Source organism: Homo sapiens, chromosome 10, assembly GCF_000001405.40.
Source record: "Homo sapiens chromosome 10, GRCh38.p14 Primary Assembly".
NCBI classification, from domain to species: domain Eukaryota; kingdom Metazoa; phylum Chordata; class Mammalia; order Primates; family Hominidae; genus Homo; species Homo sapiens.
The window spans coordinates 25,378,320-25,395,800 of record NC_000010.11 but is presented as its reverse complement, the minus strand read 5'-3'; the positions used below and the strand labels follow the sequence as shown (position 1 = coordinate 25,395,800).

Genomic DNA, 17,481 nt, shown 5'->3' with positions numbered 1-17,481 from the left:
GAAATAAAATAGCTCTTTTTTGAACTTTTCAGTTTTGTTGTGCCAACAATTTTTTTTAGAAGCAGTAAATTAAGTTTCCTTTCTAAATTTATGCCATTACAGCTGCAGTTGCACACATCTTTACTTCCTGTGGCAATGGAATGAGTTAATTACTAGACATAGTTTTTCTTTTTAATGCCTCACATATCATCTTATTGCTTTAAGAAATTGTTCCAAAGCCTATAAGAGTATTTCAAAAGTGATTCCATACTGAATGTTTCTATCAAAGCAAAGGTAGGTAGGTGGGTAGATAGGCAGGTAGGTAGGTAAACAGATAGTAAAATTTAAGATGTGAAAATTGCTTTTATGAATTAAATAGTCATCAAATTTTATCCTGGAATCAATCAAAATAACACAAATTGATAAAATAATAAAACAAGTAAATTTAAAAATGCAAATTTAGAAGATAAAAATAAAGATGAATTAATTATTCCAGGGCTGTTTACCTAAAATCTGTTTAATAGATAAATGTTTTACATATACATATAAGGAAGAAAAACAGCTTTCAAAATATTTCACTATCATAAACAATAGACATCTCCCCAAAATTTAATCTTGACTTCTTTCAAGGGTCAAGGATATAACCTAGCAAGCAAAAGATATAATTTTAACCAAGTAAAATTTAGCTTAACCTACTTCATTTTTGCTACATTTAATTACATAGCAAGGAATAACTTCTACTAAACTACAAAAACTACATCAGTAAAACTGGAGCATTTAAATAATCTAACCAACACTGAAATTTCTTTCATGATATTGTTCTACCATGATTCCAACACATTGCCTTTTTACCACTATAATCTATTAAAGGAACTTAGAATCTAGTGAATTTAAGAATTATAAGATGTCCCTCTTTTCAGAAGCCCTTGAGATAAAATTTTAAATAATTTAAATAATTCCATAATCTAAGCTTAAATGATTAGCATTAGGATCAATATTACATATCACAAAAACTCCAGCAATTAGATAAGTATTTGTATGTAAGATAAAAAAGCTAATACTTATTCTAAAGTCAGAGATGCAGCAAGAAATCTCTGAAAAAGAGCTCTCTAAAGGACCTTCTTGAATATTTTAATTTCATTAATACCCTCTTCTTTTCCATCTAACACACACATATCCAATTTATATGCTGCAATTGAAAACACATTTCCTAACCCAGAGCAAAATAAAATAGCAAGAGTACCAGTCAATTCAACTGAGTTAGCAAGTATTTAGGAAATAACCGCAGCATGCATAAAGAATGCGTACAGAACCTAATAAAAATAACATGTACTGTTTATAAAGCTCCAGTTATACAATAGGTCAAATCATATTTCTAAACTATGTAAATAAAAGAAGTAACTATAACATGTATTTAGGAGAAGCACTAGTATTATGGAAAGAGCATATTAGTTGTGGTCAGTCAGAAAAGACAAATTTGAAATCTGACTTCATCACTTCCCAACCGTGTGGATTTGGGCTGTTCTCTTAACATCTCTGAGCCTTACTGTCTTTAATTAATGAGAATAACTATTCCACCAGACACAGACATAGTCTGAAAAAGGTAGTGCCACCATGATGGCCTAATGGGTTAAATACAGGGTATAAGAGGAAAAGAAAAATAAAGGATGACTCCAGCGTTTTTGGCCTGAGCAAACTTAAGTATGGAGTTGTCATTTAACTGATCTGAGAAAGTCTTTAGATTTAGGGAAAAGATCAGAAGTTCAGTTTTGGAAATGCTCACGGTGAAGTGATTATTCAAAAATTTAGATCTACATCTCAAATAGGTAGTTTGATAAACTAGTATGAAGTTTAGAAGAGATGTCTGGGCTGTATAATTTGTGAATCATTTGCATAAAGATCATAGATAAATCCGTGAGATTAGATAAGACTAAATCACTAAGCAGTGCCTTCAGTCAGTGAAGGAAACAGATCCAAAAATATGAGAGTAATCCGGCTGCAACATCTGCCACCTCATTGATTGCCAGGATTGATTCAGCTAATCTGGCTGACTTGGCAAGTGTCTTTTTCCTTCCTCACTACTCCATGTGTGTCCTTCCTGAAGCTACTTGCTAGGTCAAAGAGGATGACCTTCCCAAATAGAGGAGAACCATTCTTCACTCAAGGGTACACAAGCTGCTGTGTTCCCCTGCTAGAACCTCTAAACATACTATCAGGAAATAGATCCAAGTGGTGAGACTCGGGACACTTCAGAGCTAAAATGTTAGGCAGAAAGAAAGAATCAAAGGATCCTGAGAGGAGCAATTCAATGGGGTATCATTACTTCCGTTACGACGTCGCGACACTACGAATATAGCATGTGGAGTTTGTTGTAAGTTAGATTTACTAAATATTCATCCAGCAAGGATTTGTAAACTAAGGTAAACCAGGTAAACTAAGTCTTAGATACTAAGACTACATTAGAATTCTTGAAATATTTTACCTTGCTGAAATTCAGAGGTTAATGCTATTCATTAGAACATAGAACATCACTGATTTCATGATGATATGACTCAGCACTGCAACAGTGACTCAGTTGAGAATTTTAAATTCTTATGGAAGATCTGAAAGTTTATTGTAATTAAAGTATCTCTCTGCTATAAACTAACTCTACAGCCAACATAAAAAAATGAATGTTTAAAAAATTGAATTGATTAGATCTGGTACATATTGCCAAATAAAATATTCCTTAAACTTGAAAGAAATGCCTCCTGATTTTATTACATAAAACACAGAAACATGAATTATTAGCTACCTCAAACTTGTTATTCTATTAATAAATAATTTTATGATCTCAAAGGAAAGAAAAAAAACTTTGTCAATTAAAATCAATAAAAGCAGATCATCCTGCTGTACTGACTCCACCTCCAAGACAGCAGGGCCTGTACGGAACCAAATGTGCTACTGTTTTCATGCTTTTGCCTTGAAGTATACAAGTGGTCTTGGCTTATTTTTTTTTATGAAGAATTGTAAATTTTCAATAAACTTGCAAGGCATATTTTCTTGCTGTACCCACCACCATGATTCCCTCGCTACTTCATCTCTGTTACCTCCTAAACAAAATTATACATTTTTAAGATTAGGAAATTAGTTCAGTTAACCTAGTTTAAAAAAAAAACTGTAAATATAGTGATGCTCAACTAATGTTTAGTTTGGGTTTAGGCTGAGGGGCTGCTTGTTAAGTAGCACTTGTTTCTCCTCCATGAGGGTAGCTGCTCCATGAGTAGCCTTTGATAAAAATTGATAAAAATATAAAAATTAAGAGTTATTGCTACGGGATCCTTGGAGTGTCATTTTGCCAGCCAGAAACCTCTGTGGCCAGTGGCTCCTCGGCCTGACTTTTGCTCTGGCCTGCTAGGCACATTATGCCCACTCAGCCTGGAAGGCTGCCCTTGGCTCCTGCTACCAGCCTGGATCCCACACCTGCCAAGGGCAAGCCAAGTGTGGAGCAGTGGGGGTGTGTGAGTGAGTGTGGGGTCCACACACTGTGTGCAGCAAGGCACACCAGCTGCAGAAGGGAGGACAGCTCTAGGCACTGGCAAGGGCACTGGCTCCCTGTGAGACTGCAGCTGAACCAGGTGTACCATAAGCAGCTTCGATGGCTGTATTAGTCCACTCTCATGCTGTTATAAGAACATACCCAAGACTGGGTAATTTACAAAGGAAAGAGTCTTAATTGACTCACAGTTCCACATGGCTGGGGAGGCCTCACAATCATGGCGGAAGGCAAAAGAGAAGCAAAGGCACATCTCACATAGCAGCAAGCAGGAGAACGTGTGCAGGAGAACTGCCCTTTATAAAACCATCAGATCTCGTGAGACTTATTCACTTTCAAGATAACAGCATGGGAAAAACTCACCCCCATGATTCAATTACTTCCTACCAGTTCCCTCCCATGATATATGGGGATTAGGATAGGAACAATTCAAGATGAGATTTGGGTGGGGACATAGCCAAACCATATCATTCCACCCCAGCCCCTCCCAAATCTCATGTCCTCACATTTCAAAACAAATCATGCCTTCCCAACTGTTCCCCAAAGTCTCAATTCATTTCAGCATTAACTCAAAAGTCCACAGTCCAATGTCTAATCTGGGACAAGGTAAGCCCCCTCCACCTATGAACCTATAAGATCAAAAACAAGTCAGTTACTTCCTGGATACAATGGGGTTACAGGCATTGGGTAAATACACCCATTCCAAATGGGATAAATTGGCCAACATAAAGGGGCTACAGGCCTCATGAAAGTCTAAAATCCAGCAGGACAGTCAAATCTTAAAGCTCAAAATGATCTCCTTTAACTGCATGTCTCACAACCAGGTCATGCTGATGCAAGAAGGGGTTCCCATGGTCTTGGGCAGCTCTGCCTCTATGGCTTTGCAGGGTAAAGTCCACCTCCTGGCTGCTTTCATGGGCTAGTGTTGAGTGTCTGTGGCTTTTCCAGGCACACAGTGCTAGCTGTTGGTGGATCTACCATTCTGAGATCTGGAGGATGGTGGTCCTCTTCTCACAGCTCCACTAGGCAGTGCCCCAGTGGGGACGCTGTGTTGGGGTTCCCACCCACATTTTCCTTCTGCACTGCCCTAGAAGAGGTTCTTCATGAGGGACCCACCCCTGCAGCACACCTCTGACTGGACATCCAGGTGTTTCTATGCATCCTCTGAAATCTAGGCAGAGGTTCCCAAACCTCAATTCTTGACTTCTGTGCACCCACAGGCCCAACAACACGTGGAAGCCACCAAGGTTTGGGGCTTGACCCTCTGAAGCAATGGTCTGAGCTGTACCTTGGCCCCTTTTAGCCACAGCTGACACACGGGGCACCAAGTCCTAAGACTGCACAAAGCAGGGGAGCCCTGGAGCCAGCCCACGAAACCATTTTCTCCCCCTGGGCCTCCAGGCCTGTGATGGGAGGGACTGCCATGAAGACCTCTGACATGCCCTACAGACATTTTTCACCATTGTCTTGGTGATTAAGCAAATTTCTGCATTTCCTTGTTACTTATGTAAATTTCTGCAGCCAGCTAGAATTTCTTCTCAGAAAATGGGTTTTTCTTTTTTACTGCATTGCCAGGCTGCAAATTTTCCAAAATTGTATGCTCTGCTTCTCTTTTAAACATAAGTTCCAATTATAAATCATATCTTTGTGAATGAATAAAACTAAATGCTTTTAAAAGCACCCAAGTCATCTCTTGATCACCTTGCTGCTTAGAAATTTCTTTGGCTAGATACCCTAAATCCTCTCTTTCAAGTAAAACGTTCCACAGATCTCTAGGGCAGGGGCAGAATGCCACCAGTCTCTTTGCTAAAACATAGTAAGAATCACCTTTGCTCCAGTTCCCAAAAAGTTCCTTATCTCTATCTGGAACAGCTCAGCCTGGACTTCATCATCTATATCACTATCAGCATTTTGGTCAAAACCATTCAACAAGTCTCTAGGAAGCTCCACACTTTCCCACAGCCTTCTGTCTTCTTCTAAGCCCTCCAAACTGTTCCAACCTCTATCTGTTACCCAGTTCTAAAGTAAATTACACATTTTAGGGTATCTTAATAGCAGTACCCCCCTCTACCGGTACCAATTTACTGTATTAGTCTGTTCTCAAGCTGCTATAAGGATATACCCAAGACTTATAGAGGAAAGAGATTTAAAAGACTCACAGTTCCACATGGATGGGGAAGCCTCATAAATATGATGGAGGGCAAAAGAGGAGCCAAAGCATGTCTTACATGGTGGCAGACAAGAGAGCATGCGAAGAGGAACTGCCCTTTATAAAACCATCAAATCTCATGACACTTATTCACTATCATGAGAACAGCATGGAAAAAACCTGCTCCCATGATTCAATTACCTCCCACCAGGTCCCTCCAACAACACATGGGGATTATGGGAGCTAAAGCTCAAGATGAGACTTGGGTGGGAATAAAGCCAAACCATATCAACAGCTAACACCAAGAAACGTGGTGTGGTGCCCAGAAGCTTGGGGATGCCAGGAACCACAGAGACCTAAAAAGGATGTCACAGCCTTGGCTCAGGGAGCTTCCAGGTCTGGGATCCCCAAAGGGCCACAGCCCTTCTTTCCTTCTCTATTCTTTCCTTCTTGTCACCCACAATATGGCATGCAAGGGGCGTGTTTCAGCCCTGTTTGTGTTACAGCTTTTTTAGCCCCACCATTCAGCGGGTCCCAAGTTCTTGTACTCCATCCAGGAAGAATGTACACAGACAACTGGAGGGTCAACAAGATAAAGAGGAGTTTTATTGAGCAATAGAACAGCTCAGAGGAGATCTGCAGTGGGGAACTCCTCTCTGTAGCCAGAGTGTTCCAACGAGTGTTCAGCTCTCAGCAGAGAGTCTCCTCTCTGTGAGGCAGGTCATCCTGATGACTGTCGAGCTCTCAGCAGAGAGGTTAATTTCTTTCTGCAAATGGATGTCCCATCATCTCCTCAGCCCTCAGCAAAGAGGAGACCCTGGGGTGGGCAGCTCCTCTCTGCAGTTGGTTGTCCCATCATCTCCTTGAGTCTGGCTGAGTGCAGGGCTTTTATGGGCCTCAGCAGGGAGGAAGTACATGTCCATTGGTCCATGGGTGGCCATGGACAGGTCTGGAAAAGGCACCACCTCCCCTGTCTGAAGGTGGGGCTTCACTGGGGACCCTCCCCTCTTCTTCCCAGGATCTTGTCTGATGCCTGCCACCATTCATGGCACCCAGGCTGTTTGTGCCAAGGGATGCCTGCAGGCCACTGCCAAGCTTCCCTCAGCACCCACTGGGCCTCCCTCCCATGCTCATTGGTGCCCAAAGTCTAGAGGGGGCCAAGGTGGCAGGGGCTGGCCTGTCAGCACTGTCCCAAGCAAGCACACACCCTGTCAGGTTGCAACAGCACCTGGGCTCAGCCTCAACTTTGCTCCATGATTGGAGTGGGCACTGAAAGCAAGGAGAGGCCAGGCAATGGGAGCAGACACCTCCAAGCCTGTGTGGGCAAGGGAGGGGGCCTTCCCAGGCCCCCCAAGAGTGCAAAATGCCTGGGTCTGCAGCCACAACTTGGGCAGCTGCAGCCACACATGGGAGTGCAGGAATCTTGCCTGCTCCCAGCTCCCACTGGCTCCATGGAGCACAGCACTGCCCCAGACCCAGCTCCACTTCTGCCCGCCCTTCATGCCTGACCATGCTGCTCCTCCACCAGCAGGTGACCTGGCCTGGCCTCATTGCGATAGCTCCCAGGGCAATGGGTGAGATGAAGGTGGTACAGTGGACCTGGCCAACCCCACAAAAATGACTCCAATGTTCCTGGGGCCAGCCCCATGAGTCCTGGCTGCACATTTGGCCTGGTGCTTATGGGCCCGTGGGACATGGCAGGGAGCAAGGTTAAGGCCACAGCAGAGGCTCTGGGCCTGGGAACAGGTTCTGCCTGGCCATGCAAGGGTGGGGGTGGTGTGGTTGACTGCCTCAGGGACTCAGGCCACAGAGGACCCACTGCCGCCACTGCTGCTCCCACAACCACTCCTGCTGCCACCGCTCTCACCTCACCAATGCAGCTGGCATAATGACAGCAGCTGCTCTGGATGGCCCACGATTGCCGTCATTATTGTACCCCTGAATAAGGAAGCTGCTTACAATATTGGAAGCCTACTTTGATGAACCTTAACAAGCCACCAGCAGAGATTTACAAAAGACAGCTCTTAAGAACTCACAATCAAATCCAGGTTCCTAGGAGCAGACCAGATCCAATTGCATAAGATATGGTGGTCAAGAGTTTAGAGTGAAGTGGATAAATTTCTAGAAACATACACGCTATCAAGATTGAATCATAATAAAAAAGAACAGATATATAACTAGTAAGGAGATTAAATTCAGTAATCAAAAAACTTCCCAATAAAAAAGTGCCCATAACCAGATGTCTTCAATGGAGAATTCTACTAAACATGTATAAAAGAATAAACAACAATCTTCCTTAAACTCTTGCAAAAAATTGAGGAGAAGCCCAGGCACGGTGGCTCACACCTGTAATCACAGCACTTTGGGAGGCTGAGGCAGGTGGATCATGAGGTCAGGAGATCGAGACCATCCTAGCCAACATGGTGAAACCCTGTCTCTGCTAAAAATACAAAAATTAGCCAGGCATGGTGGCGTGTGCCTGTAGTCCCAGCTACTCAGGAGGCTGAGGCACAAGAATCACTTGAACCCAGGAGGCGGAGGTTGCAGTGAGCCAAGATCATGCCACTGCACTCCAGCCTGGGTGACAGAGCAACACCCTGTCTCAAAAAAAAAAAAAAAAATTTGAAGAGAAAGGAACATTCCCAAACTCATTTTATGATGTCAGCACTACACTATACCAAAGCCAGATAAGTATACTCTTGGAAAAGAAAACAATAGACAAGTATTCCTGATGAATATTGATGCAAAAATCTCAAACCAAATTCACCAGAAATTCAACAGACATTAAAAAGGATTATACACCACAAACAAGTGGGATTCATTTCTAGAATTCAAGGATAGTTAAACACACAAAAAGCAATCAGTGTAGTTACACACATCAACAGAATGAAGGACAAAACCAAACGATCATCTCAAGTGATGCAGAGAAAGCATCTGACACAATGCAACACCCTTTTATGATAAAAACACCCAACATACTAAAAATAGGAGGAAATTACCTCAACATATTAAAGATCATACATGAAAAACCACAGATAACATCATACTCAATGGTAAAAAACTGAAAACTTTTCCTCTAAGCTCAAGTACAAGGTGTGAAAGCCTTCTCTCTCCACTTTCACGAAACATAGTACTGTAAGTCCTTGCCAGAACAATTAGTCAAGAAAAAAAACTAAAGGGCATCCAAAAAGGAAATTAAAAAGTAAAATTATCTTTGTTCACAGATGACAAGATCTTATATAATTTGAGGGTAGAAAACCCTGAAATTCCACACACACAAAAACTACTAGAACTAATAAATGTATCCAGCAAACATGTAGGATACAAAAATCAACATGCCAAAATTGGTTGTTTCTATATAAAAACAATGAATAATCCAAAAGTAAGTTTAGAAACAGTCTCATTTACAATAATATCAAAAAGAATAAAATGAAAATATCAAAAAGAATAAAATGATTAGGAGTAACCAAGAAGGTGAAAGAAGTATACTCTGAAAACTGTAAAATATTGCTGAAAGAAATGTTAAAAGACATAAATAAGTGACAGTGACATCCAGTGTTCATTGCAACACTGAATTGAAAGACTTAATATTGTTAAAATATCCATACTATTCAAAGCAAAGCAAAACTACAGATTGAATGTAATCCATATCAAAATCCTAATGACATTTTTTGCAGAAATCGAAAAAATGTCCTAAACTTATATGGAATCCCAAGCACCCGAAATCATCAAAACAATCTTGAAAAAGAACTAAGTTGGAGGCATCACACTTTCTGATTTCAAAACACACTACAAAGCTATAGTAATCAAAACAGTGTGGTACTGGCATAAAGACAGACATATAGACAAATGGAATAGACAGCCCAGAAATAAACCCTTACATATAATGTTCAAATTGTCTTCAACAATTCAGTGAGGACAGGACATTCTCTTCAACAGGTGGTATTTGGAAAATGGAATATGCACATGCAAAAGAATAAAGTCAGACCTTTACCTAACACCAAATACAAAACTTAATCAATATGATTTAAGACTTAAACATAACACCTAAAACTATAAAACTCTGGAAGAAAAATGGGAAAAGCCTTATGACATTAGATTTGGGAATGGTTTCTTGGATATGACATCAAATCCACAACCAACAAAACCAAAAATAGACAAATGGGACTACATCAAATTTAAAAACTTATTTGCATCAAAGAATGCAATACAATCAACAGAATGAAAAGTCAGCCTACAGAATGGGAGAAAACATTTGCAAACCATGTATCTGATAAAGGGCTAATATCCAGAGCACATAAAGAACTCCTGCAACACAATGACACAGAAAAACAAATAACCTGATTTTAAGTGGGCAAATTTCTGCAAGGAAAATATACCAATGGCCAATAAGCCAATGAAAAGATGTTAAACATCACTAAATACTTAGAGAAATGCAAATCAAAACCACAACGAGATATTATCCCACCTCCATTAGTATGGCCACTATCAAAAAATTATAATAATAATAAATGTTTCTGAGGATGTGGAAAAAATTGGAACCCTTGTGCACTGTTGGTGAAAACATGAAATGGTGTAGCCACTATGGAAAACAGTATGAAGGTTCTCAAAAAAATTAAAAACAGAATTACTATATGGTCTTGCAATCCCTTTTTGGTATGTATCCAAAATAATTCAAAGCAGGAATTTGAAGAGCTATTTGCATACCCATATTCATAGTGGCACTATTTAAAATAGCCAAGAGTTGTAAGTAACCCAAATACCCATCAACAAATAAATGGATAAACAAACTGTGATATATAAAAATAATGGAATATTATCCAGAATTGAAAAGAGAAGGAAACTCTATCATCTGCTTCAACATGGTTGAACATAGAGGACATTATGCTAGGTGAAATAAACCTAGCACAAAAAGCCAAATACTCTATGATACCACCTATATGTGGTACCTGAAGTAGATAAACTCATAGAAATAGAAAGTGGAACGGTGTTTTCCAAGGGTTAGGGGCAAGGGAATATGAGGAGTTGTTCAATGGGTGTAGAGTTTCCATTTTGCAACATGAAAAATTTTTAGAGCTCTGTCACACAACAATGAATATAAATAACATTACCAAATTGTACAGTTAAATAGGTTAAGATAGTTAGATTTTTATATTATGTATTTTTACCACAATTAAATTTTTAAAAAAATATTTTAGAGCAAAATGATCTTTCTAGTTCAAAGATGTGTATGTAAACATTAAAGGTCGTATTGCAATCGGCATGATGTATATCTCATCTCACATACCTCAGACTGCCAACTCCTGGTAAACATAATTGCAGAGCAAAACCTGGTCAGCCTGACAGTCAAGAAGATTTGTATGGAGATATTACTGAGAAATGGAATGGCTAAAATGAAAGCTAAGATGAGGTGCATACAGGGAAGACTTGTTTTAACAGAAATAATACTTGTGCCGAAAAACCACATTTATAAATAATTCTGAAAAAAACTAACTTGGACTGAAAAGAGGTGTCAGAAAAAAAAATCAAATAAATAAAGTTTATGTAATTCCAAATCTTCTAGAAATGGATCTTTAAATGCCTTTTTAAAATTTTTGTTTTGGAATTTTCCTAAAATGTAAAATTCTTTCTGATTTCTCTAAACTGAACACCATGAACAGAATTTAACATCTTCTTCTGAACACTGTGAACAGAATTTAACATCTTCTTCATGAGTCAGAATCATTACGCTGAACAATAGGTACTGAATTGTGTTGAAATTCACTAATGCCCTCTGGAGCCATTGAAAGTTTATGGCTATTTTCTCACACATTAAATAGCCCAGAGTGCTGTACTTTTTGAGTTCTTATGCTTAGTTTTCATGGTTTTTTATTCTTTATTTTGAGCTGGCAGCTCAAAATTTTATCCTAAACTATAGGCTATTTTAATCCTAAAATATAGACTTAACTCTACAAATGTCTTTTCTCCCTTTCAAATCATAGTTACAACTGCCTGCATATCTGGAAACTAGATCGCAAAGCATGCAGGGTATATGAGATAATAAATAATAAAGTAAGGGTAAATAAGATAATAAATAGTTAATATTTACTGTTTACCACATACCAGGCACTGCTGCACAAGTATTAACTCAATTCTATAGCAACTCTGTTATTATTTCCATTTTAGAGATGAGAACTTTGAGGAACAAACTGCTAAAGTAACTTGCCCAAAACCACACAGCTAGCAACTGGCTGAGCCAGGATTCAACCCCAAGGGTGTGGCTCCAAAGAGTATCAATCACTGCCTAGGAAGTATAGGCTCACAGAAGTATTCCATAAATGAGGAACAGATGCTAGTGCATGGTCACTTTAGAGTCTCTTTTGATTGTTTCAACTTTTTTTTTTCTATTCTTCTTGGTTTCAGGCAGTATTCCAGATGGACCAGTTTGCTGGATCATTAAGCTTCAAATAAGGGAAGATTATTAATTTGAAAATGTACATATGAAATATACTTTAAGAAATGCAATTAAGTCCCACACCTGTTACAATTTTTACAAATGAATCTCTCCCTTCCCGATGCAGAGTTCCTCAACTCAAATCTTAGGAAACAAGCCTTCATTTCAGGGCATCCAGGTAAAGTGCCTTTTCTCCGCCTAAATTTCCTGAAAACGAAACCCCCCTTGTGCCTCAGGTAAGTCTCTGCAGTGGAAACAAAGGTGTTTCTATGGCAGTCTGGTCTGTCACTTCTTTTTTGCTTTAGTGGCAAATGCATAGCTCTCCTTTGTTTTGACCGGAGACTTATCTAATTCCAGCAAGTTTCCTGCTGTATTGATTACTGAGCCTTATTCAAAAAGCAGATGGCAACACCACAGAGGCATAAAGAAAGATTAAAAGCTTGACACTAGCAAGATGAAGTAGAAATGGAGGCTTCTAGATTTTTAAAAAGGCAGCAGCTTTTAATATTTTTTTACTCCTTCTTTGTAACTTATGAAGAAATACTTTAAAACGTTGAATCTTCTCATCTGGGCCGGGAGCGGCGGCTCATGCCTGTAATCCCAGCACTTTGGGAGACGGAGGCAGGTGGATCGTCAGGTCAGGTGTTCCAGACCAGCCTGGCCAACATAGTGAAAGCCCATCTCTACTAAAAATACCAAAAATAAGCCGGGTGTGGTGGCAGGCACCTGTAATCCCAGCTACTCAGGGGGCTGAGGCAGGAGAATCGCTTGAACCTGGGAGAAGGAAGGAGGTTGCAATGAGCCGAGATCATGCCACTACACTCCAGCCTGGGCGACAGTGTGAGACTCCATCTCAAAAAAATAAATAAATAAAAATAAAATAAAATAAATAAATGAATGAATCTGCTCATCTGGGAGTGGGTTTGGGGAGACTTTGTACTAAAACAGGTCAATTATATTAACATTCAGTAGCCTCTTTCCCACAACTATTTGCAAGTTTATTAAAGCCAAAGGAAAACACTCAAACAGGAAATCTAAAAGGCCTCCTGGTAATCATAGGGTACACATCACTCACATATTTTACCAAACCACCTTCCAGGAAAACAAGAACCCATGAATAACAAATAATGCAGTATTTCACAAGGGAGAAAAAGAACATCTTATCTCTATTATTCAGCAGCTGTCAGAACCCAGTTTTAAAAGTATGATAAACTGGGGTAGGGTTGGGGGCAGAAGAGAGGATGTTTTATTTTATGACATCGTTAAAATTAAAAAAGAAACTTTTCTATTATTAATTTTTGAAATGTTCTTATGTTCGATGGAGCCAGCTCTCACAAAACAGGGCTAAGGGATAGCAACACAGCATCTGGTTCAGACACATTACAAGTCTGCAGACTTCACACTGACACACAGCAAGATGCCTTGTGGGGGCTGAGACTGACTCAGGAAAATGTCAGAATTACATCTCGCCGAGTGAGCAAGCCCAATTTTCTAGGCCTTCCTACAGAAATAGCCCAAAGGCTTGACAAACGTAAATTCTTTGTATGTTCGACACTTTCAGATAATGAAACACTCCCCTCCACTAAATCACAAACTCACTATGATGCATCTATGCTCTAACTTTGACACCCCATGCTCCCCGCAGTCACAGTTCACATCACTGGGGACTTTGTTTTCACTCTTGACAGAATTTAACTCTTGCTTACCGAACCCTGTTGTGCATTATTTGCTGAGGCAACAAAGAACAAAATCATGGTCTGGTTCTCAGGCAGCTTAAAACCCGCAAGCAAAAACAAAAATTGGACCTGTTATAAATGTGCTTTACCCTGTTTACAATAAAAAACTTCATGTGTGCTTGATTTGTTTGTTTTTGAGTAGTCCTTCTTTAAATATTTTGCTAAAATAAATTGTTGTTTAAAATAAAAAATGCTAAACAAAATAAGTTAATATGAATAATATCTTTGAATTCAAGATGAATTAAAAATACTTTTAAATGTAAATAAAAGCCATGAGAAGAAACTCCTTCAACTGCCTTTGAGCAAACCAACAAGTCTACTAAACCTACACCCATATGCTCCTAGTAAAATGGAAACCATGTCCCTCCTATTTAAAGCTGATTAATTTCAATATTTGTCCACTCTCGCCATACATGTTCCCAGTGACTTCCTCTAGCAAGAATGTTCCCTTTCTTGTTCAACCTTTTCCTCTTTACTAGCAACGTTCCTCATTATTAACTGTGCACAAATCTCAGCCATATTAAAAACCATAATAATAAAATTAAACTGTCTCTCAACCCTAAATTCACTTCTAGTTACTACCCAAACATCTTGAAGGATTTATCTATGCTCATTATCTCCATTTACTTACCTCCCTCATCAAACCAGAGCAATTTGGCTCTCACCACCCTTGCTCCATTGATCTGATGTTGCCAAATACACAAGTGATGTTCACATCATTGAATCTATTAGCTATTTTCAGGTTATAATTTTTTAACTTTTCTGCAGAATGAGACACTTCTGACCATTCCCTCTTTCATGAAACACTTCTTTCCTTGACTTCCCATTCTCAAATATTCAATTCTCCTCCTACTTCTTTTGCCACTCCCTTTCAGCCCCGAGCTGACATTCTTCCTCTTCCTGGACTTACCAACTGGGGTTTCCAGGGCTCTGTCCTATACTTATTCTTACTATAAATTTGATCTCTGTGTCATTTTATAACTTTTGTGCAAATGTTAAGGTTATCTGCATACTTGCTAACTGCAGAAGCCCAGATTAGAAACTTACTTTTCCTTACTCTCCAAGTTCCATCACTTCTACCTTTTAGCTATATGTAAAATCAATGCCTTTCTCATCCCTATTGTCATAATACTAATCCAAGCCTCTATAATCACTCAATAGAATTAGTATAACTGCTTCATATATGGTTTCTCAAATTTGCATTCCTTGAATCCGTTTCTTATATATTACACAGAGTGATCTTACCATTATTTTTAATTATTACTCCTAATTCCATACAGATTACATGAATAAGTTCTTAAAAGTTAAAATAATAAAAATTAAAGTATCTAATATACACACATTGGAAAATGATTTGGCATTGTTTACACAGTTGAAGATGAATGTAACTTACAACTAAGTAATTGTACTCCAAAACATTCAAAATGTGTGTTTATTGAAAAAACACATAAAATGTAATACATTACTAATTGTAATACTAAAAAAAGAAAAATGAATGAACTGCATTATATACATAAATATAGATAGATCTAATTAAAACATCAAGAAGCAAATGCAAATTGTGTGAGAGTACATATAATATGATTTCAGTTTTATAAAACGCAGAAACATGTAGAACTTTATAAAGTACACTTTAGGATATATACACATTTGAAACTACAAAGAACAACAGTGATCAACGTAAAATTCAGGATAATGATTACTGTTTGGTGAGGGAGACAGGTATAGGATGAGGGAGGAGCACTTGGGATTTCTAAGAGACTTGTGACAATCTATTTCTTAAGCTGGATAGTGGGTTGTCTTCTTCACTGCAATGTTCCCAAATCCTAGCACAAGCATGACACATAGTAGGTGCTCAATAAATATTAGTGAAATGAGGGAAAAAAAGAACAAAACTGAACTCAGTTTTTTTCTATGAAACAATAGTTTGTTAGCAAGCTGTAGCACCTACCAAAACAATTAGAACATCTGGATAAAATACAAAAGAAAAAAGAAAAAAAAAACCCTATGGAGAGGCATAAGAAAGCTTATGTGAAGCCAAAATGGAGGGACCAAGATCCAAGGTAAAAAAAAAAAGGAGGTAAATAAAAGTCCTGTGTTCTGCATTTCTGTATTAAACCGAGTATTTCATGATATGAAGCACTGGGGGAAGACTGAGAATGCAGACAGATGTAAGCTGATAAGAAGAAGAGATGCCACCTAAGTTTTGGCACTCTCACAGGCATGAGAAGAAAAGAAAAAATCAAGTTTGGGGCTAGAAAAATAATCAGGAAGACAAAATCTCAGAGAGAAGGGAAGTACAGAAAAAAAAAAAAAAAAAAGCTAATCCTCAAAAAAATTTGTTGAATTCTTAATCTGCCCAGAGTGAAACTCTAAGAAACTAAGCAGAAGCTGAAGAGAAAAAGAAGTCTTTTGCCGTATCACAATGTTAAGGAGACTACTTCGGAATTTAGGACCCTGTATGGATAAAGGTCCTAGTAAACAATCCTGGCTTTCTCAATGACAGCCTCTGTAAGTTAAGAGTGAATAAAAACTAGTTTGAGCCTTTCATGGACTACTATCCATCACTGGGACAGCTCAAGCTTTGGTTGGGTTAAGGTGATATGTCTATATCAAGTTACTTATCAGAGATAGGTTAAAGCCTCTCTGGAAAAAGATAATGCATCCAGAACCACTGTAACAACACGATGCCTGACATTCAATCTCAAATTACACCACACAGAAGCCCAAAGATACAGGAGGGAATGAATAGCAATAGAAAGTAAATATGCGAGTAAATCTAAATTAATATTGATGATAGAAGATGGTAATAGTAATAATAATGTCTCATGGATTTAAGACGTATATTGAAATTAAATGCAATATAAAAGGCAGGTGGGGTTGGGCACAGTGGCTCATGCCTGTAATCCCAGCATTTTGATAGTCCAAGGCTAGAGGATCACTTGAGCTCTGGACTTTGAGACCAGCCTGGGCAACACGGTGAGACCCCATCTCAGAAAAATTTATTTTAAATCAGCAAGGTGTAGTAGTACATGTCTGTCGTTCCAGCTACTCGGGGCTGAAGTAGGAGGATCATTTGAACCTGGAAGTTTGAGGCTGCAGTGAGCTATGATTGTGCCACTGCACCCCAGCCTGGGTGACAAAGCAAAACCCTGTCTCAAAACAAAAATAAAAATAAAAATAAAGGCAGGTGGGAAGTAAATCCAGTTAAATGGTGCTGATATCTTACTTTTTATAAGAAAGGTAAAAGGAATAACTTACATCAGTCTTTAGTGAGCTAAGGATGCATGCTGAAATCCATAGAATAACTACTAAAAGTATTAAAAAATATTAATATAAGCAATATATATATATGCCTAACTGGCAAAGAGAAGGAAAAGTTAAATAATAAAAAAAGAAATACTGTATTAAAACCAAATAACATAAGAAAAGAGGAAAAAAGAGCATAGTGGGACAAATGGAAAAATATAAACTAAGATGGTATATACGAATAAAATAAGAAAGAAGGAAAGTAGGAAGGCAAGCAGTCTGTCAGGTTTCTAACAATGATTTAAAAAAAAAAACTTGCCTATCATTGTTATGTAGTTTTTCCAGTGTTGATTAGAAAGCAATTTCATTTGCATTTTAAGCCATTCAGTTTATATGAAAT

General features: G+C 38.6%; 1 protein-coding gene and 1 pseudogene across 2 annotated transcripts in view; one reads left to right on the top strand and one right to left on the bottom strand.

Moving 5' to 3' along the window:
- Positions 1-17,481, bottom strand: part of GPR158 (G protein-coupled receptor 158) — a 427,229-nt gene that overhangs the window by 206,429 nt on the left and 203,319 nt on the right. The window lies entirely within an intron of this gene.
- Positions 1,957-2,244, top strand: RN7SKP220 (RN7SK pseudogene 220; annotated as a pseudogene).